At 52.4% G+C, this 21,208-nt stretch overlaps 2 protein-coding genes across 14 annotated transcripts in view, besides 2 other annotated features; one reads left to right on the top strand and one right to left on the bottom strand.

The window, feature by feature from the left end:
• The first annotated feature begins 8,002 nt into the window (after nt 1-8,002).
• Nucleotides 8,003-16,612, top strand: TMEM37 (transmembrane protein 37). 5 transcript variants are annotated; one of them, XM_011510659.3, is made up of 2 exons: nt 8,003-8,091; nt 14,997-16,612. In XM_011510659.3, exons 1-2 carry the CDS (start codon nt 8,035-8,037, stop codon nt 15,546-15,548), a joined length of 609 nt encoding a protein of 202 aa, XP_011508961.1. In that variant the 5' UTR covers nt 8,003-8,034; the 3' UTR covers nt 15,549-16,612. The 5 variants fall into 5 exon arrangements, with proteins under 5 accessions (XP_011508961.1, XP_047299401.1, NP_899063.2 ...); XM_047443445.1 differs by lacking the exon at nt 8,003-8,091 and adding an exon at nt 9,318-9,693; NM_183240.3 differs by lacking the exon at nt 8,003-8,091 and adding an exon at nt 9,962-10,032.
• Nucleotides 9,734-10,113: a silencer, noted in NCBI's record as "silent region_11905". NCBI's record gives its function as "represses an Ori minimal core promoter by ATAC-STARR-seq in GM12878 lymphoblastoid cells {active_cell/tissue: GM12878}" and the evidence as "EXISTENCE:reporter gene assay evidence [ECO:0000049][PMID:35858748]".
• Nucleotides 10,397-10,903: an enhancer, noted in NCBI's record as "H3K4me1 hESC enhancer chr2:120189865-120190371 (GRCh37/hg19 assembly coordinates)". NCBI's record gives its function as "activates a minimal SCP1, AML or CMV promoter by ChIP-STARR-seq in naive H9 embryonic stem cells {active_cell/tissue: H9 hESC(naive)}" and the evidence as "EXISTENCE:reporter gene assay evidence [ECO:0000049][PMID:30033119]".
• The window catches only part of SCTR (secretin receptor), an 84,641-nt gene continuing 81,383 nt past the window's right edge, over nt 17,951-21,208 (bottom strand). For 7 of the 9 annotated variants that reach the window (XM_047445401.1, XM_047445400.1, XM_047445399.1 and 4 more), the window contains one exon: nt 19,379-19,707. In XM_047445401.1, coding sequence (XP_047301357.1) covers nt 19,510-19,707 — 198 coding nt within the window. In that variant the 3' untranslated portion in view covers nt 19,379-19,509. Of the gene's footprint in view, nt 18,366-19,378; nt 19,708-21,208 lie in introns of those variants that run through there. The other 2 variants (NM_002980.3, XM_011511621.3) reach the window with 1 other exon arrangement.

Below are 21,208 nucleotides of genomic sequence, written 5' to 3' on the forward strand. Positions count from 1 at the left end.
CATGAACACAATGTGGCCAAGTTCCTTGTTAAGGCATAACAAGGGTGACCTTTGCTCCAGTTCCCAATAAGTTCCTCACTTCCATCTGACACCTCCTCAGCCTAGACTTTGCTATCCATATTTCTATCAGCACTTTGGTCACAACCACTTGATTAGCCTCTAATATTTTAAGTTCTAAACTTTCCCTCATCTTCCTGTCTTCAGCTGAGCCCTGCAAACTCTTCCAACCTCTGCCCCTTATCCAGTTCCAAAGCCACTTCCATATTTTCAGGTATCTTTATAGCAATGCCTACTCTCAGAATCAATTTTCTTAGTCTTTTTGTGTTGCTATAAAGGAATACCTGAGGCTGGGTAGTTTATACAGAAAACAGGCTTATTTGGCTCATGATTCTGCAGGCTGTGCAAGAAGCATGGCATCAGCCTCTGCTTCTGGTGAGGCCTCAGGAAGCTTCCATTCTTGGTGGAAGGTGAAGGGGACCCAGTGTCACACTGTGAGAGAGGATGAAAGAGAGGGGAGGAGCTGCCAGGTTCTTTTCAACAACCAGTTCTCGCAGGAACTAAGAATGAGAACTCACTCACTCCCATGAGAATGGCACCAAATCATTCATGAGGGATCTGTCCCCAGGATCCAAACACCTCCCACTAGGCCCACCTTCAACATTCATATTTCAACATGAGACTTGGAGGAGCCAAACAATCCCTATCCAAATCATAGCCGATGCTGTACAAACCCGAGTTGTATCCCCCTTTTGAGTTTGCTCACACAAGCGTAATACACATGTTAATAAACTTTTGTTTGCTTTTCTCTTGTTAATCTTTCTTTTGTCAGTTTAACGTACAGGGGGCCAGACAATGAACCTAAGATGGGTAGAAGGAAAACAGTTTTTCCGCCTCTAGAAGTTCTTCTTGGGAAGCTCTGTTTTTAGGCTGATAAAAGGTTTAGGACAAACAAAAACAAAACCATTCTCATATGCCTTCAATTCAAAATAACGTGTATGTCATAGTGGTATGTTCTGGGCCCCTTCACTATGAAACAGCTGTGGCCAGGCCTACTCTCCTTTAACTGTCAAATAGAGCAAATGTGTATGTTTACCCTGGGGCACCATCTGTCTCCTGGACACCCCTTGCTCAAACCTCAACTCTAGCCCCCTCATTCATCTTCAGTGGGGAAGGCTGATGCCAGAGGGGAGGACAGAGAAGACATTTGAGCATTATGCACCTGGGACACAGGTTGTGCACACCTTCCAGCCCACTAGTACCTTATCCTAAGCATGTTAATACACTCCCCATCTCTTATCCTGCCTTCCTGCTGCATGTTTTCAATTGATCTAACATGCCGTGTGACTCAGGCAGCCTAATTTGCCCTATGAGCCTTTCTATTTTGTGACCTCTGTCTCAGCCTGTCTGGTGCTGTACTTAGAGGCTTCCATAGCATAAAGATAATTCTCTACATGACAGAACTTGGACAAAGATATTCATCAGTGTGGTTGGCTGAGGGGGACTCTGAAGCGACCTAGTTGTTCACCACTAAAATGAACAAATAAAATGCAGTGGATGAATAGCAGGGTAATCACAGCAGTGAGAGGCAGTGAACTAGATTAGGAGCTTACAAACTTTTTTTATCATGAGCCACAACATAGAAATACTTTTTACATTGTAACATGGGATCTATCTATCTGTCTATATCTATCTATCTATCTATCCATCCATCCGTCTTTGAAAAAAATTCATAAAAATATATTTAATTATGTCTGAGGCACTCTGACATTTTCTATTCATTTTTAATAAATGTTAGTTATGGTCCCACCAAATTCGTTTCACTAGTCACTAGTGGGGCCTAGCCTTTCATTTGCAAAGCACTGACTTCAATGTACATGTACATCAACAGAGATGGTCTTAAATCATGCTGTTGGGGAAGAATAGTAGGAAACAGAACAAGATTTATAGCACAATGCAACTCAGGAAACAAAATCCACACACACACACACAAGGATACACACCTGGTTACAGATATATATCAAACACATTAGAGGGCGTGCCACTATAGGGAATGAAAATAGAGTCTGAGGAAACACATGAAAAACCAACCCTAGAAGGACCTTGAATGTGAGGATTCTGTCAATATGCCATGATCTGAGAAGAATGGTTAATGGGCTCTGAACCAGAGTCCAGCCAAACAAAAAGATGGGGTGGAGGTGGGTTTCCTGCTGGAAAAGAAATTTGAGAATCATGTAAATATTCACAAAGTACTTAGGAGCTGGAGAATATTGTATTTAGAATTCTTTAAACGTATCATTAAAATGGGTTCATAAGGATACAATATCTTCTGGTGCAAAGTTGGAAGAGAGAAGGGTCCCCTCGCCATCAGTGTAGGTGAGACCAACTGAAAGGAAGTGTAGGCTTAGAAGTTTGCAGTCACAGAACAAGGCTGGCCAGTGTACCCACCACTTGCTTCAGAGGAGGGGGCCTGGGACCAGGGACACCTGCCCCCAAGGAAGAGCTCTCTGTTGGGTGGACAGCCCGGCCTCAGTGCTAGCCCCTTCTTGTCCATAGTCCCTGTGACCCAGGAGGCCATGCTTAATGCCACATGACCCTGCCCCCAGCCCTTGGTCACAGCTTTTGGGGATAGCGTTGGGCCCCTAGCTCTGGAGGAACCAGCTCTCAGACTGCTGGGTTATCATTAAACCAAGCAGCCTAGCTCGACTGGGCTACAGAGATTCTCCCTGAGGAATCTGAGCCCAGAAGTGGAGAGATCATTTGCCACAAGGGGTGAGGGCTGCTGTAGAGCAGCCATGAGCTGGAGTCCAGGCAGGAGGCTGCAGTGGGTGGCGAGGTGGGGAAGGCAGATGGTGGTGGGATAGCGAGATGCAGATGTTGCAAGCATGGCTGGGTTATCATCTCACCAGCACAGCAACAGAGCTGGTCTTACAAGCTCAACTCTTACGAGGGCCAGCAGATGACATAGAGGATGGACAGAGCCAGGCGTAAGACTGGTGGGGCCCACAGAGCATAGCCTGTCCATAGGGCAGCACTGCAGGGCTGTGGCCATTGTTCTCATGTGGCCAAGTGATCCTCAGGGTTCCAGATTGTCTCATTTTCAAGAGAAGCCAGGGTTGGGGCTCAGAAAATGATACCCCAAAATGTGGCGCTTTGACTTACTGACCTGAACAAAAAGCCTCTGACGGTCTCTCTGATCTTCCCCGGCTCCATCCTTACTCTCCCAAAGAACAGAGTGAAATTGTTCTCTGAAGTTTCCTAATCTGCCTGAAGTCTGGACCCACTGAAGAAGAAAACAATGGCTCCTGGTCCTTTCCCTGAGTTTTCATTAACTGAACTCATATGGCAGGAAGACCGAAGTCTGTCAACACACCTGGGCAAGCTTTTGTCACAAACTATTGTCTGCTCTGCAGGCTCAACAGACTCTGTTCCAGGCCATTGTGTGTTCTTCAAGACCACTGAATTCCCCTAAAGATCACTTAGCACCCCTCTGAAATCATTCATACTTCTCCATCTCCCTCTCCCCTAGAAAGAAGTGTACAGAACCATCTGTACCCCATCGTGTGGTGGGGTGACCACTCTGTGATTCACCCCCTTGCATGCTAATACATTTCAGTGCCACAACTCCTTTTGCAAGTTGACTTTTCAGTAAACCTTCAGAGGGTAAGAGAAGTTTTTCCTTGACCCCTACACCAGAAATCCAGAATTTAGCATAAAATCCTCTACTTTTTTTTTTTTTTTAACTAAAAACACTTCGAGGCCGGGCATGGTGGCTCATGCCTGTAATCCCAACACCTTGGTAGGCTGAGGTCGGAGAATTGCTTGAGCCTGGGGGGTTGAGGCTGCAGTGAACCATGATGATGCCACCGCACCACAGCCTGACCAACAGGGTGAGACCCTGTCTCTTTAAAAAAAAAAAAAAAAAAAAAAAAAGCCACACCCAACACTTTGTGGAAAAAACAATACAGGACTACAGGCTGAGGATGATGGGCAAGTGCTGGCTGAAGGTCTGAAGTCCATCCCCTTACCCTATTCTCCTGGGGAGGCCACCCTGCCCCCAGTGAATTCCCCGAGAGATCCCAGTTTCCCGTATTGCTCCTCCCAGACCCTTTGACCCAGACTGCTTTCCTTGTAAACATCAAATCTAACAACCTAAGTGGTGGGGTGTTTCCTGGGTTTCCCCAGAGCTTAGGCAAAGCCCTGTGTAAACCATTTAACTTCCATAGTCATCAGCCCAGTCATGCCCAGTACTCATGCCCACACTGTTTCTTCTTTGTCCCTCACTGGTCATTCTGTGCCCACCAACCAACTCCTGGTGCCTAACTTTGCTTCTTGGGCACTTTGATCCCAGCAGGGGTACCCTGATGAGGAAAGAACACAGATCCACTCTGGGGAAGAGATGATCTGGCAGTCCGTGCTGTACAATAACTCTGGGTGCATTTGTTTATTGTCTCCAAGAGACTGAGTGTCCCAGAGTATGCTGATAAGTCCAATGTCCAAGTCTGCGAAGAAAAAGTTGATAGAAGTCTCTCCCGTGGGGGTTCGATGTGTGCCTGGAATCTGTGGGGTCCTGATGCCTCTATCTGTCTCGAGGGAGGACTTGACTTTGGAAAGGGAGGCCCTACAGAAAGGCCACCCTCAGAGGTCCCATCTACATCATTCTCCCTCTCCCCACCTCTCTGGTACCACCTCTAAATACAGAAACACCTTCAAAAAACTCACGTGGGTTAAGTTTCCCATATACAGACACGTTTAGAAGAAAGTTTCCCATATATAGACATATTTAGGAAAGATACTAGTTCCTCCTTGTTTCACTCATTGCTTCAAGCACAGCCAGCCCACCCCTGCATTCCCCCTTAGATGCTGGGTGTCCCCGATGGGGCTGCTGACAGGCCCTTTCTTCAGTTGCAGGGTGAACATCATACCTGTGACCCTTCCTCACCCAAGGGGAAGGCAAGGAGGAAAGACTCAGGGGAGGGCGGGGAAACTCTTTGGCTCCCAGCCGGCTCACACTAAAATGCGGTAAACAAGGTCTGTGTTGCAATCGGGCGCCTGAGAGGAGGTCAAGGAGGTTGAATGCTGGGCTGGGGCTCAAGGCAGAGCAGGGCAGGGCGCAGGGAGCCCTAGCTGGAGGGAAAGGAACCAGCCTGGAAAGGTCTGGAATCAGGAAAACCATGGCGTGGGGGCTGGGAGAAGAGGAAGACCTGGTTGGTAAAGGCGGGGCAGCAGGAGGAGAGGAGAGGGAAGAGGCCATGGGCCACAGACAAGGCAAGACCTGGAGAGGTCAGAAGTACAAGGCACGGGCGGCAGGGAGGGTGGGTCATCCTGGCACCATGCAGCTTTAAAGCTACCCAGTGAGCTTCAAGGGGCTGCTCCTTGCCAACTCCCTGCTATTACCTCTGGGTGTTTGGAGTGTGTCTGCCCCACCTCGTCCCTCCCACCTTCCAACTCCTCAAAAGAGAAACTTCCAGCACTGGGAACTACCCCCAAGACTAAATCTCCGCACAGGGGAGTCGCCTCTCAGATCTAAGTTTCCCTGGGAGCAGGGACCGCGCAAACTTAGAGCCCCCTGGAAACTGGATGGTAAAGATCATGAGTTATTTAGACTTATGCATATGCCAGCCGGGATGGTGCACCTGACACCTTATGCACATTCATTGCTTCATGGGATCCTCTCAACACCAGGAGGGAGATGCTTCCCATTTGACAGAAAAGTGAGGAGCACAGAGGGGAAGTATTTGCTCAGAATGCATTAGAAGCCTGGTTCTTCTGTAAGCAAACCTTATTGACCAACCTGTATTTAGGGACTGGGCATGGAGTGGTGAAAGAGGGAAAAAGTCCCAGCTCTCATGGAGCCCATGATATTTTAGAGAGGGAAAGGGACAATCCAGGAAATAGACAAATAGCCACTTTCAGCTAGTGATCAAGAATTTACAAAGGTAAAAGAGTGGCAAGTGGGGGGTGGAGTGTTACTCTGGCTGGGAAAGTCAGGAGATGCCCCTGAAAAGGCCCTGCAGACACCCAGGGGAAGGTCTTGGCAGGAAGGTCGGGGGCTGGGGGGCCAGGAACCAAAGCTTCCTGAGCCTTGGAAAAGAGGGATGGGAAGATGCTTGAAGGGACAGAGGAAGTGAGAGTGAAGGCTGTTCCACAGGCATCCAGGCTAGAGAGGAGGGGATCTGGGGTGGGCTGAAGCCGGGCAGGCACTGGAGGGGCAGAGAGGAGAGGATGGAGTATATGGAGGGCGTGAGGGCAAAGAGAGCAGGAGGATGTGGAGCCTGAACTACCGAGGCCTGGGAGAGAGCAGAAATGGAGAGGTAGGTTTGGACTCTAAAACTCAAGCACTTTACCATTGACAGGGACTTTGTCTTTTTCTTCTTTGTCCCTCATTGGTCAGGACAGTTGTGACTACATAGTAGGTATTCAATCACTTCATTCATTTAGTCAATGAATATTTATTGAGAACCTACTACATGCCTGGCTCTGTCGTAGGCACCAGCGATACACTGGTGAACAGGACAATGCCCTTGGCCTCTTGGAGCTTACATTAAAAGGGGGAGAGAGGACAAGTAAATATGTGTATGTGGGCAGAAGAGAAAAGAGAATGGAGGGGCTGTTTTAGATGTGGGGGTCGTCGTAGGCCTCTCTGATAAGGTGACATCTGAGCCCAGACTTTAAAGAAGTGAGCTGGTGAGTCTTAAATGGGAGTATCTGGAGGAAGAACATTTCAGGCAGAAGAAGCAGCAAGTACAAAGGCCCCGAGATGAAAGAGTGTTTGCTGACTGAACAACAGATCTAGTGCTTGTTGACTGAATGATCAGGAATTGTGTCCCTACCAATACACTTGAAACTCTCTAAGGAACATGCCTGGATCTTCCTCATCAGGCAAGAGTGGTCAGAGGGGTGGGAAGGAGCCACTTCCTGCCTTTCTTTAAGCCATTCCTCTTTCCCCAGCCCTGGCCAGGCCTAGAAGCAGGGGTCAGGGAGGGTCAAGTGCCGAGTCTGTCACAATCTGGACAAAGGGCAGAGAAAGTCAAAGAATAGGCAGGCTCCATGCTGTCCCACAGCCCAGTACTCATGCCCATGCTGTTTCTGCTTTTAACACCTGGGGGTCCACCCGGTAATCCAACCCCCACCTCTGCCCCTGCCATGTTTCCCCTCACACTAAAACTCCCTGCTTCTCTGGACATTCTTCTCCTGGTGCGGTATTTGTCTCTGCAGGGTTTAAGGGAAAGCTTCTTCACCCTCTGAAGTTTCAATGAAAAATAAACTCACAAAAGGCACATTAAATGGAGAAAAGGTATATACATTAATTCAAGGTGTACACCCCGGGAGAATCACGGAGTATGCCCACCCCTCAGCAGTGCTCAGAAGCTTCTATACTATCCTGGCAGAACAGGTGATGGGAGAGGAGAGAAGACGAATTCTGTAGAGGGGCTAGCCGAATGGATCAGGGAATAGAGATTAACTTGCCGGGTGTGGTCACATTCTCAGTCCTACAGGGAGGAGAAGAAACACAATTGTTCCTTTTGGTGGGTCTGGATGTTAGGCAGATAAAGGAACTTCAGTTTCATCCTGTGTTTTGGGAGAGACGGTGAGGGGAGGGAAGGTCAGAGAGACCTTGAGGCTTTTTCAGTTGTGTATGTCAAAGCGCCATGCTTTGGGACTTCTGACCCCAATACCTCTGGCTATCTCACCAGGATTTGAGAGGGCTGTGGATGCTGCCACTCCCCGCACCACCCCAACCCCCTAAGCCAGAGAGGTACCAGGAGACTCCAGGTCTTAGAGTCTCAGCTCAGATTCCACCCAAATTCTGGCCATATTCCCAGTCCTCATGTGAGCATAAGATGATCAGAACTGGATAGTCACTTCCTCCTTATTATTCTTAAGTCATTTCTGCTTCTCCAACTATCTTGCTGACAAGACATGTTGCTCTAAATTCTACTGATTCAATACTTTTCTATTCTTACCAACAAAGCGTAACAGGCTGTGAGAAACATGCCTGACCACACACGAAACTGGAGAAGGCAGTGGGTGCAGATGACCCGACCTGACTGTTCTTCTGATTTTAATTCCAGGCACTTCCCTCTTGGCCAGGTGAGATGCTATGATCCAGAATCTCACCTGGGAGAGCCCACAGGGCATTCTTAGGGCTCAGTGAAAGGATACCCCCGCAACAGGACAGGTCTTCCTTTCCCATGTGGGCTCTTTATCCAGAACCCAGAGCTGCGGAGAGTCTGGCTTCTGGGACCCTTGACTGGGGAGAAAGCAGGTGGGGGCCACGGAGGGAAGGCCCCAGAGCAGAGAGGCACCAGGCTGGCTGAGCCTGGGCAGCTGCCCTTTGCCTTAGCTCAGTGGTTCTCAAAGCCTGGCCCCCAGGCCAGCAGCACCAACATCACTTGAGGCCACTCAGCCAGAAACTCTGCAGTGGGGCCTCGCAATCTGTTTTAACAAACCTTCCAGGTGACTCTGGTGCAGAATGGTGGCAAGAACTCAAACCTGGACTAGGCCTGCTGGGTAAGTGGAGTCCCAGCTCTCCAGTGGACTCAATGTGGGTGGCCTGGGCCAAGCCTTCCTGTGCCTGGGCCATTTCTCCGTTTGTCAAGCTCCAGGACTGGGGTAAAGGATTTGACAAGGTCTGTTGGGCAGGGATGGAATCAGATGAATATCTAAGTGGAAGATATACAGACAATTGTAACTACCCCTCTTTCTCACATGGCTCTAAAGGGGAAAACAGATGAGTGCAGTTGCTTTGTCTTTGGGTAAAGTCACCAGGAGCTGCCTGCCTGAGTGAACCAGACAATTTAATGTGTGCCATTTAGTGAGGGGCCTTGTTTTACCACCACATTTGAGGATGGGGGGAGGGAAGCCTTTCTGTTGGAATTTGTGGCCCTTGGACACTCCTCCCACCTCCACCCTTTTTGGCGGTAAAAGCTTTTAGGTGCTGCCTCTTTAAGAACTCAGATCCGGCCGGATGCGGTGGCTCATGCCTGTAATCCTAGCACTTTGGAAGGCCGAGATCGGTGGATCACCTGAGGTCAGGAGTTCGAGACCAGCCTGACCAAAATGGTGAAACCCCCGTCTCTGCTAAAAAATACAAAAATTAGCAGGGCTTGATGGGGCGCGCTTGTAATCCCAGCTACTCGGGAGGCTGAGGCAGGAGAATCGCTTGAACGGGTTTGAACCCAGGAGGCGAAGGTTGCAGTGAGCCGTGATCGCGTCATTGCACTCCAGCCTGGGCCACAAGCGCTAGACAACGTCCAGAAAAAAAAAAAGAGAGACCTCAGTTCCCATCGAGGTGGAGAAAAAATAACCACATTTGTTTGGCATATTTGCATTTTTAATAGTCCCTGAGGAGTTCAGGAGGAAACAGGGTTTTACATCCCCTTTTAGGGACGCAAGTAGGATTGCCCCAAAAAGTTCCACTCCGTTCACACTCAGCGAGGGCCCGGCAAGAGCCCCACCTTTCACATTCATTATTTCCCTTACTAACCGAGGCTCCGAGACGCTAAACAAGCAGCCCAAGGTCACACCGCAGAGTGAGGGCAGCAGAGCCTCTGCGCCTGCCTCCTCCCTTCGGACCCTGCCGCGTTCCCAGAGGCTGGACTCAGCAAGCTGGAACAGGAATCGAACCCTCAGGCCCTCGTCGCCGTCCCAGCCCTCGAGGAATCTGCGCCCCAGGCGAAGCTGTCCTCGGAGGTTCGGGAGCGTCGGAGTGACTTCCCGATCCTTTCCCCTGGGACCCGAGGGATCCCTCCCCCCAAGTGCCGGGTCCTCCCCGCGGCTCCCCAGGGGCTCCTCCGGCCGCCCTCGCTGACTCAGCGTAATCCGAGCCGCGGAGGGCGGCGGGGTTGGCGGAGCCCGCCCGGGGTTAATCGCCGAGCTTTGAACGCCCCCTCCCGCCCCGCCCGCCTCCAGCAGCCGCCCCGCCCCTGCGGAGAAGTCCCGGGCTGGCGCCGGCGGCCACAGCGGAGCAGCTGGAGCGATCGAGGCTGCAGCGCGGCCGCCGGGCGCAGCATGACTGCCGTCGGCGTGCAGGTAGCCGGCGCCTGGCGGGGCGCTGACCCGGGGTGCTGCCCCGCCGTGGGAGGTTGGGGGTGGGAGGACGGAGGGAGGGGCGTACCCACCGCGAGCGCCGGCGTCGGGCTGGGGGTGCGAGCGCCCCCCGTGCCCGCCCCCTGTTGCAAACCTGGGTCCGGAGGAGGCTGGGCGGGGAGCAACCTCGGGGGGCCTGCCTGCCTCACATAGCTGCTCCCGAGGCGCGGACTCCGGCTGCTTCTGCTCGCGGCCTTGCAAGCACCCGAGGCTCCCAAACTTCATTTGGAAAGATTTTTCTTCTCTTTGGTGTCACCAGTGACTTACTGGTCAGTTTACCATAAGGGTCCCCCTTTGTGAGAAATGAGGCGCGTCTGGGGTGGAGGGACAGAATCGACTTGCAAAGTGAGGCTTATGTAACAGAGGATGCGTCTCTTGGGAAGTTAGACCTTTCTGGGGGTGGAGGTTAGGAAGACCGTCTCCCTCCCCAAAGCTGCGTTTGGGGTGCTGGGCTGGGGGTGGACTTGCTGAGTCGCGCGGACACCTCAGGGAAAGGCTCTGGCGAGGGAAGAAGCCCGTGTCTCCGAAGATTTGGCTTCTCCTTAGCGTAGTGCACGATGTTTATGTTGGCTAAGAACCTACACATTCCTACCCGCTCCCTCGGGCCTGCTGCTCCCCAAAGGGAAGTCAGTGGGTGGCGGTACCGCTGCCCAGCGGGCGAACTTCCTTTCCGCGCAACTCGCCCGCTGCAGAGTCTATCCGCTGGACTGTCTCCAGGATTAGAGAGGCCCGTTGACTTCGTGTACAAACGCTCAGCCACAACACTGACCTAGTAGACACCGTTCTGCCCATTGTATAGATGAGGTAACCGAGACTCAGAAGTAAGGTGCCCTCCGTGGCTGGCCAAGGAACAGAATCAAGATTCAAACCCAGGGCTTTCTGGCTCCAAATCCCACTGGCTCCTCCTGCCTTTACCTAACGGGAGAAACCCCACCCACAGGACACCCCCAAAACCGCTTCTATAGCCAGGACCTAGGCACCTGGGCGAAGCCGGGCATGGGGCGCAGGGAATTCCTCCCCTTTGTTCTGGGGGATGTCTGGAATCCCGGCCAGGCAGCATGGTGGGACAGACCAGGTGCGGTCCCTCCCCTCTAGGAGCTTACAGCCCATGTAGGGAGAGAGACTTGGAAACAGGGCATGGGGGAGCGAATGCTAAATTAAGAGGTGCAAAAGTTGCCAGACGGGGAAGAGGAGGAAGCCTGGTAGCAAGGTGGGAGCTCAGCTGGGGAGGCCACAGGCTCCAGGTGAAGGGCGGGTGCTCCGGCCGCTTCGGGATGATAACTCTTCATCCCCACAACCATGACTTGCCAGGGGGCAAACACAGGTAGGAAGCAAGTTCTGGGTCATGCAGGCAGCGGTGGGCCAGGCTGCAGCTGAGAGGAGCAGAGGCAGGCCGGCTCATCAGGAGGCTGTGAACTTCCAGGATGTTGACGATGGTGATGGCCTCACCTGGGTAGGGGCAGAGTGGGTGATGAGGGGGAGCAAATATGGGAGACATGTTGGGGATGTGCGGAATGAGTTGGGAGGAGCTTAATTTGTCTACCTGGGGGTGCTTTGGTTAAGGGGAACACATGAGGCCCTGGGTTATAGGAGGAAGACCATGACATTGGACTCAGTAGCCCAGTAGTGTCAAGTGACCCTATTCTATAGGTCACTAGAAATCATGCAAGGTTACAGATGAAAAAGGAAAATGCTTACATTTTTAGCAGAGCAGTTAAGCTCCAGAGAGATTTAAGTGATTGCCTAAAGGTACCCTGCAGGGGTCCTCTAGGTCAGGGGCAGGACTTGACCTCCCCGCTCCCTTCTTTTCCACTGCACACTTGTCCAGCTGCCCTCCAGTAGCCGTTTCAGGCCCTGCATCACTGAAAGCTGGTGGAGATGCCGGGTGGTTAGGAATGAAGACTCTATATGTGTTATTATTGTTATTAATATTAATAGCTACCATGAGTTGGGAGCGGCCCGTGTACCATGCATCTTTATATACAGGATCTCATTTGATTCCTGGGAGTTTCAGTGGTGGCCAGAGAGTTTAAATGAAGCCCTACTTTGGGGCAGGAGCGGGAGGAAACTAGATGAGGTCAGCTGTCTCCACTTTCTGATCCTGACGTGACATCTAAGGGCCTGGAGATTAAAGTCCAGTCTGCCTAGGACAGGTAGGGCTGGAGAAGGGACAGGACGTGCCTGTTTTCCAGCCAGCATGCTGTCTCGGGTTAAAAGGTTTCTGGGTCCTGTGATTTGTTCTCTGCCTGTGGTGCTCCTCCTTTTTAGGACCATTTATCATTCTCTAGGGACCTTGTAACCTTGCCAGGTGCCTTCATGGCTACGACTTTCCTGCAAGTGTCATTAACTTCATTTTCTAGATGAGGAAACAAGGGCTCAGGAAGTTAAGAAACTGCCCAAGGACAAACACCTCTAATGGTTTGTGGAGTAGACACAGGTTTTCAAAGTTTCCTTTGGTTTCTTTCTTACCGGTAGATTTTTTTTTTTTTTGTAATAAAATGCAATACAGACTCCTGGACCCCCAATGTCCCAAGCAGGTACAGGGCTCAGTTGAAGTGAGGAAGGGGATGCAGAGCCAGCCTGCTCAGCTTCCCTGCCCACCCGGCTTCAGCACTGGAAGCCCCACCAGGAGCATGGGGACACAGTTTGAGAACCACAGCCCATACTCTTAGCTCCATGTTTTTGACCGCACCCAGGCTGCCTTCATCTCAGCTAGGACCCAGGCTGGTCCTAGCTCTGGCATGGCCCTTGAGGCATCCCTCTGCACGCACCTTTTCCTCACCAAGAGGGCATGGGGCACAGGGAATTCCTCCCCTTTGTTCTGGGACATGTCTGGAATCCTGGCCAGGCAGCGTGCTGGGACAGACCAAGTGCGGTCCCTCCCATCCAGGAGCTTACAGCCCATGTAGGGAGGGCTGTAAGGGCTCAGTACTGAGCCCCTAGCACAAAGGCCCTGTCCTTAGAAGGCCCTAGTCAGTATTTATTCGCTGAACGGATTCCACCTCCTGCATATCATACAATTGTCTGGGCAGCCATAAAGAGCTTCATTGTGCTTTAGGTGAGTGATCTCAGGCAAGTCACCTGCCCTCTGCATAGTTTCCTTCTCTGTACACCCACCATGGAGCTTCCTACTTTATCAACCTCATAGGTTTAAGAATAAAATAGGATCCTACTTAAGGCAGAGGTGCTGAAAGCAAACTGCATCCTTATTCCTGTATCCCTGGGGTTGAAATTAGCGGTAGCTCCTGTGTCTGGGGCATGTGAGCAGATACTCTTGCTGGGCTCTTTGACCACAGGAGTCTCCCAGAAGCAGGGCTTTATTTTATGTCTCACACAGAGAGGAGTGGCCCAGACCTGCCTCAGGAAGCCTCCATTTGCCCATGGCATAGGACACACCCCATGTTCCTCACTGCTCCATTCTCCTGGGTCCTAGCAGTGACCGTCATGCGTGCCTGTTTTGCATACCTCCCAAACCGAGGTGTAACCTGGGCAGCTTCTAGACACACTGCAAAGCAGGTCATTTAATGTATGACTGTGCAGGAGACTCAGTTTAAAGGAGCTTCAGACGGAAGTGACAGTGGTTGCCAATGACCTTTGACTTATCTCACAGCTCTCCCTTGAGCACCCACTGAATGCCCAGGTATTGGGGACACAGCAGTGCCTAAACACAGAATGTGGTGGTGTGGGGGTAGGGGGCGGCCTTCCCAGAGCACACAGTGTTGGAATGAGACAGAAATAATATGTAACTACAAACTGTCCTCAGAATGGTGAAGAATTTGAACAGGTGCCTGACACAGAATACCAGGAGGGGCCTGACTCTGGGTTGAGTGGGCAGGAAAGCACTCTCTGTGGAGGAGACTTTAAGCTGAGACATGAAGAATGGAGAAGAGGTGTTGTCCTGGAGGGGTGGCAGGAGCTGCAGAAGAGCCACTACAGGCTTAAGGGCCAGTCATCTGAGGAAAGAAAGTTCTAGACATGGGGAGAGGGGAGTGTGCTGGGAGCTGAGGTTGGGTGGGGAGGCGGAGCGGATTGTGAGAGGCTTGTGGGCTGTGTAAAGAGTTCCTGAAGTCTTTCTTTTGCTTTCTGGGTCAGGGCTTGGGTGCAGTGCCCGGGTGGTGTCCTTGAACTGTGAGATGAGACACCTCACTGGACACCTAGCCTGGCTTGCCAGGAGACCGGGGTGGGGGCGCCTCCTTCCAGGGCTGAACCGGAAGTGGAGGAGAGCTGCAATGGCCTTCCCATGCCCAGAAGCTGCAGGAGCAGACAATGGGGTTGGCAAGCTCTGGGTAGGGTACAGGCCGCACAGGTCTGAGGGCAAGATGCAAATGTCACTTTCAGTACCAAGAAAAACGAGGCAATAATCTAGAGTCCTGGGCTGAACGTGGACAGCTCCCGAATCATCAGGTGGGTGGGGATTAGGACAAAATCGTGTATCCTGGGGAGATGGAGGGAAACAGAACTGTGTATTGGTGTGCTAATGTCTCAGTGCTTGGTACAACCCTGGCAACTCTGCCAGGCCGTATTCTTGTTTTATGTACAAAGAAACCGAGGCAGGCTGCATGCTCAAGGTCATGGGATGCAGGCACGACAGGTTTTCTGAACTCAGAACTGACTCAGATTTGCCAGTCGGTTTGGACTTCTCACCCACTCTGAAGATCACAAAAGAAAGAAAGGTCAGGAAGCTCTTAGTGCCTGGTGAATACTGGATGGTAAATGCTCACAGGTCTGGAAGGGAGGAAGGGTTCCCCCCAAACGGTGGGTCTGGTCTGTTCCGGGCTTCACAGGAGACCAAGCAGAGAATAAGACAGTGCGGAGCAGGATGGAGGGCTCAGGGGTCTTCCCTGCAGAGGTTCCTGGGGGCGTGGCAGGGCTGTGGCTGACAGGGTGCTTCCTACGGTTTTTTCCAGGCCCAGAGGCCTTTGGGCCAAAGGCAGCCCCGCCGGTCCTTCTTTGAATCCTTCATCCGGACCCTCATCATCACGTGTGTGGCCCTGGCTGTGGTCCTGTCCTCGGTCTCCATTTGTGATGGGCACTGGCTCCTGGCTGAGGACCGCCTCTTCGGGCTCTGGCACTTCTGCACCACCACCAACCAGACGATCTGCTTCAGAGACCTGGGCCAGGCCCATGTGCCCGGGCTGGCCGTGGGCATGGGCCTGGTACGCAGCGTGGGCGCCTTGGCCGTGGTGGCCGCCATTTTTGGCCTGGAGTTCCTCATGGTGTCCCAGTTGTGCGAGGACAAACACTCACAGTGCAAGTGGGTCATGGGTTCCATCCTCCTCCTGGTGTCTTTCGTCCTCTCCTCCGGCGGGCTCCTGGGTTTTGTGATCCTCCTCAGGAACCAAGTCACACTCATCGGCTTCACCCTAATGTTTTGGTGCGAATTCACTGCCTCCTTCCTCCTCTTCCTGAACGCCATCAGCGGCCTTCACATCAACAGCATCACCCATCCCTGGGAATGACCGTGGAAATTTTAGGCCCCCTCCAGGGACATCAGATTCCACAAGAAAATATGGTCAAAATGGGACTTTTCCAGCATGTGGCCTCTGGTGGGGCTGGGTTGGACAAGGGCCTTGAAACGGCTGCCTGTTTGCCGATAACTTGTGGGTGGTCAGCCAGAAATGGCCCGGGGGCCTCTGCACCTGGTCTGCAGGGCCAGAGGCCAGGAGGGTGCCTCAGTGCCACCAACTGCACAGGCTTAGCCAGATGTTGATTTTAGAGGAAGAAAAAAACATTTTAAAACTCCTTCTTGAATTTTCTTCCCTGGACTGGAATACAGTTGGAAGCACAGGGGTAACTGGTACCTGAGCTAGCTGCACAGCCAAGGATAGTTCATGCCTGTTTCATTGACACGTGCTGGGATAGGGGCTGCAGAATCCCTGGGGCTCCCAGGGTTGTTAAGAATGGATCATTCTTCCAGCTAAGGGTCCAATCAGTGCCTAGGACTTTCTTCCACCAGCTCAAAGGGCCTTCGTATGTATGTCCCTGGCTTCAGCTTTGGTCATGCCAAAGAGGCAGAGTTCAGGATTCCCTCAGAATGCCCTGCACACAGTAGGTTTCCAAACCATTTGACTCGGTTTGCCTCCCTGCCCGTTGTTTAAACCTTACAAACCCTGGATAACCCCATCTTCTAGCAGCTGGCTGTGCCTCTGGGAGCTCTGCCTATCAGAACCCTACCTTAAGGTGGGTTTCCTTCCGAGAAGAGTTCTTGAGCAAGCTCTCCCAGGAGGGCCCACCTGACTGCTAATACACAGCCCTCCCCAAGGCCCGTGTGTGCATGTGTCTGTCTTTTGTGAGGGTTAGACAGCCTCAGGGCACCATTTTTAATCCCAGAACACATTTCAAAGAGCACGTATCTAGACCTGCTGGACTCTGCAGGGGGTGAGGGGGAACAGCGAGAGCTTGGGTAATGATTAACACCCATGCTGGGGATGCATGGAGGTGAAGGGGGCCAGGAACCAGTGGAGATTTCCATCCTTGCCAGCACGTCTGTACTTCTGTTCATTAAAGTGCTCCCTTTCTAGTCCTTTTTCTGCCCAGAAGTAGGTGATGTTATTGCCCTCAGCCCATTTCATTCTACACTGACTCCTTCCCATTCCCTCACCTGTTGAATTCTGGCTCCCAGCAATTGCATGGGTTTTTGGTCTCTGCCCCGGTCTTGTCACTGCTGCAGGTTCCTTTCCTGGTCTGGGCTGAGTGCCTATACCTACGTCTATTGTGATGTTTTAAATTTTTTATTCCAGGATGCATGGAGTCATGAAGCTGTCTGCTTTGTAGGATATAAGGCCATGGGCTTTAAGGTTGAACCACCAAGGTGCCCAGAGTCCATGGAGATCATCCTGGAAAGGTTTCCATGAATTGCTCAGTTTTACAGAGTACAGAGCTCATCAACCACACTGGCGGCATCTTAGCCTGGGAAATGGGAACCTGGAGCAATCTACAAGTTGCAAAGGGGATGTGTAACCCCCTGGTTTCTTCACGGGGAGGGGATGTATGGAGGTGGGGAGTCAGGGCCCAGAGAGGGATGCACTTGTCCAGGGTCACCCAAAGCTGGGAGTAGAGCTGACCCACCCACCAGCAGGATGCCTTTTCCTTGACACGGAGGGGAGTTTCTCTACTTCCCTCCAGAACGCTACCCCCTGAGCACTAGTAGGTTTGGTTTTGCAGAAGCGTTCAAAAATGGAGTCCTTTTTCATCCTCACATGGGGGCAGGGAGTGCAGATATTCAAAGGAACCAAGAACGAGAGTGGAGGGTGAGACTGAAGTCCCCAGGAGCTTAGAGGGGCAGCAGATGGCCCCTGTCCTTCCCTGCCTGGGAGCAGGGAGAGCACAGACACAGCCTTGGAGCATGGGCATTTGAAGTCAAAGGCCCTGGACTGAACTTCCGCCACCTCTTTGCTTAGTAGCTTGGGCAAGTCACAGGGCTTTGGTGGACCTGTCTTCTCTGAAATGGGATCATGCCCCATTTCCTGCTGTGTCTGCCTCAGGCCGAGGACATCTGTGTGGAAGAGCAGGAAAAATAGGGGTGTCCCCCTCACACCCTGTTGGGGGTAGTAAAAGGGGGGATAGTAAAAGGGACTGGGGGCCCTGGGGCTTCCCTGGCCTCCGTGGTGACTTTATCATATTATTTTAGCTGTTGTCCTGAAGGTTTGGGTGAGAGCTGCTAACCAGGTGAGTTACAGTAGGAGACAGACAGCATCCGCCAAGGGCAAACATTTCATGTTGGCTGGGCCTTCTAATCTGGTCCCTGAGTAACTGAGCTGGGGGACCAGGGAGGAGCCCGCCTCCTGCGGGAAGGCATTGGGAGCAGGCAAGAGCGTACACCCTCACCTTGTGTCAAGGCAAAAGGATGGACAAATATAGATTGAATCTCATCCCAGGCACCATTTATTTCCCTGTCCCTTTCTGGGACCCCTGAACTTCTCTTCCCAGAAGAGCAAACGAACCAAATCCCAGGCCCTTGTCCTGCCCCACAGTGCCTCACATCCCTTCGGAAGAGTCCAAGGCCTGGGGAGGGGCATCTTCAGCTGAAGGAGGACACAGGGTGTCTGCTGGGAAGACTGGCTGTCCCACAGCAGTGCCCAGCCTTCGCAGGACCTCTCTTGGTCTCTGTCCGTGGGTGACCCTGCTCCAGCCTCTCAGATGATGCTGGTCCTGCAGGTGCCCTGGCTCTGCTCCAAGTGGCTGGCCTTGGTGCTGTTGCTGAAGGAGGCCACGGGGTGCAGTGGGAACTCACGGAGGTGCCATTGCTGCCACTTCTTCTGAACCTCCAGCTGCACCTGCCCGGGAGACCAGCCATCAGCCCAGGAGGAGAGGACAGTTCTGTGCCTGGAGCCCTGCTCACTCCCCCAGTGACTCCACGCAGGCCCTGCCACTCCTGCCCAGCTGCCCTGTCCCCTAGCCTGCAGGCCACGCAGATTGACTGTTTCCAGCCCCAATGTCCAGTAGCTACTGAGGGTCCCCTCTCTCCTGGGCACATGCACCTGCAATCTCATTACATCGTGTCTTAAAGAAAGGACTTGTGCACCTTGGGACAAGTGTGTGCCCTTGACATTACAAGAGCAGTGGTGGGGAAAGCTAGCTCCCTGGCCCCCAGGCTGAGAGGAAAAGAATCCCGGATTAAGCCAGAGGCTGAGTTCTCTGAAGGTCTGGGGCACTGACAGGGGCTACTGGGCAGAGGGCCAGCTTAGAGGAGGGTGTGGTCTGAAGGTGTGGGTAGGGCAAGGCCTGACTCCACTCAGTGATGGGTCCCCAGTGATTTTAAGTGATTTAAGATGGGTCCCCACTTATTCCCAGGAAGCCACCCAAGCTCAGAACTGATCTGGGAACTAGGGAGTTTCTCTTTGTAAATTTCCTTCACAATTCCCAGCTGCAGCAGCTGAACCTTTGAAGCTAGGCTTGATATTTGATTTTTGGGAAACATCAAAGATCACTCCCATTCAAGTGCAACAAACCAGATAGATGGTCAGTAGTCACAGAAAGCCTTAGCTCATGTTAACCACATAGCTCTGTATGCCCAGAGCCTGGGGTCCTGACCCAGATGCTCCATGTGAGGCTCGAGTCCTCAAAGTGAGTGTGCAGTCTCCCAAGGAGTCAGTGCTCATCTGGAGGTCCCTAAGGATTGAGCTGCAGACAGTTCTGAGTCACCCGTTTCACATATGGGCAGACTGAGGCCCAGAACAGGGCAGTGACTGAGATCGCCCATTAAGCAAGCAGCAGGGCAGTCAGGAACCTGGGTTCTGCCCAACTTTCCTCCTGCATTTGCTGAACAGATCAACATCGGCACCAGGAATGCTTGTTAAAAAACACTTTCTCAGACCCCAGTCCAGACCTACAGAATTTATTTCTGTGGAATGAGAAACTAGGAACAGGGTCCAGCCATGGTTTGAACAAGCCTTGCTCCCATTAAGCAAATTCAGACTCCTAAAAGAACTGGCCAAGCCACCTGCCACCAGACCCAGGACTCCCTCTGACCCTTTCCATCCCCCTTCCTACCACCCCTCCCAGGTAGCTCCTTCTGACCCGGAAACCAATGGCTAGGAGCTCTCCTGGGTACCTGGGTGACCCAAGACTACTCACCTCCCCATTGAGGAAGCAGTAGAGGACGGCCACCACCAGTCCCTGCCAGAAGAAGAGAGGTAGCAGGGTTAGCACAGGTGCTCAGCATGCGGCCTGAACCAGCTGGCCAGCTGCACCCTCCCCAGGTCTCTTAATCACCAGCTACAGGCTCATTTCCCCACCTCTCTTGCCTCACTGGGAATTAGGCTACCTCTTGTGGGCTGCCCACGGTGGCCCTGGCTGTGCTGGCTCATCCAGCATAAACTGTGAACTCCTTGCAGCCAAGGGTAGGCTCCCTTTTGAACACATATGGTGTCAGGGGGGCTGCTAACCCAGCCAGCCGGGATCAGGAAGCTCACCTGGGAGCCACAGGGATGGGTGGCACCTGAAGTCCGCCCACTCTGCCAGGAGGAGTGCAGGCTGCCCAGGGTGAGACCCTGGGCCCTGTGTGGTCTTATTTCAAGATAAACTGGAAATCTGAATATGTTTAAATGTAGATAACTAATTCAAATTGAAAAACAAATGTGTAGGCAGAACAAACTATGTACAGGTCCCGGCCAGCCAGTGGTGAGCAGGGTTGGAGCTCCCTGCTTAATGGACAGGTGGGTGCACCTCCGTGCTCAGAGTTTTATGTTCCCTGGTGTGGCAAGGTCTGTGCCTGTAAGACCCTCCCTCCCTGGTATTTGGAGCTCCTGATTTCCTGATGGTGCCCCCAGGATCCTGGTGTGGAGCTCTGTCAGGGGAGGGACTCCAGGCTGGGGCGCCTGCTTGGAGCCTAAGAGGCCTCCAGATCAGCAGGAAGCAGTGTCTCTGCGGCGCATTCACCCTGCTCCTCTCCTTTCTCAGGGACCCACCTCAGGCCACCCTTCTCTCCCTTACGGGCCTGCCCTCCCCACACAGAGGCCTGACCTCAGATGGCCCAACTCCTCCTCCCTAGTCCCACCCAGGCCTGCCTGTAGCTACTTATGATATTGGAAAGGAACCTCGAAGGGTGATGAATCAGCTCATCGATGGTGGGCTTAATATGTACAACTTCTCAGGGATATTGGCATTTTAAAAAGAGTTAGTGGCGAAGCTGGAAGGGTTTGCTTTAGAATTTCAGGTATCAATGACTGCTACATAGACTGGGGACTATTTGAGGGGCAGAAACACTCAGGGCATCGGTTTCCAAGTATTGCTGCACATTAGAATCACCTGGGACCTTTTATCCAGGTTGCACTCCCCAGATCCCAGTAGCTGGGGGCATCAGCAGCTTTTAAAGATCCCCACACAGTTCCAAAAAACGGGCATCATGGTCCGGGAACTACTGTCAGAGAGGGAGTAAAAGGCACTTCAAGGCAGGCTTTGAAATGAAACAGACTTGGATCGGAGCACAGCTAGGCCTGAGTAATTGTAGGTCCCAGGTGCTTCATTTAACCTCGCCAAAGCTCTCGGAGGCAGGTGGGAGGATCTTCACCTCACAAGCGAGGGAACTGAGGCACGGAGGGGTTTAGGCATGCCTGGAGCTCTGTGTGCTTGGCCCAGAGCCACGAGCAGGCCAAGGATGCTGCCCGTTGCATGGGCT

Source organism: Homo sapiens, chromosome 2, assembly GCF_000001405.40.
Source record: "Homo sapiens chromosome 2, GRCh38.p14 Primary Assembly".
Taxonomy (NCBI): Eukaryota; Metazoa; Chordata; class Mammalia; order Primates; family Hominidae; genus Homo; species Homo sapiens.

What these genes read in the sequence shown, in the direction of transcription:
- TMEM37 (XM_011510659.3), top strand. Translation starts at nt 8,035, where the DNA reads ATGACCCGACCTGACTGTTCTTCTGATTTTAATTCCAGGCACTTCCCT. An exon ending in GGCACTTCCCTCTTGGCCAG is followed by an intron (nt 8,092 to 14,996) that starts GTGAGATGCTAT and finishes GGTTTTTTCCAG; the next exon opens with GCCCAGAGGCCTTTGGGCCA.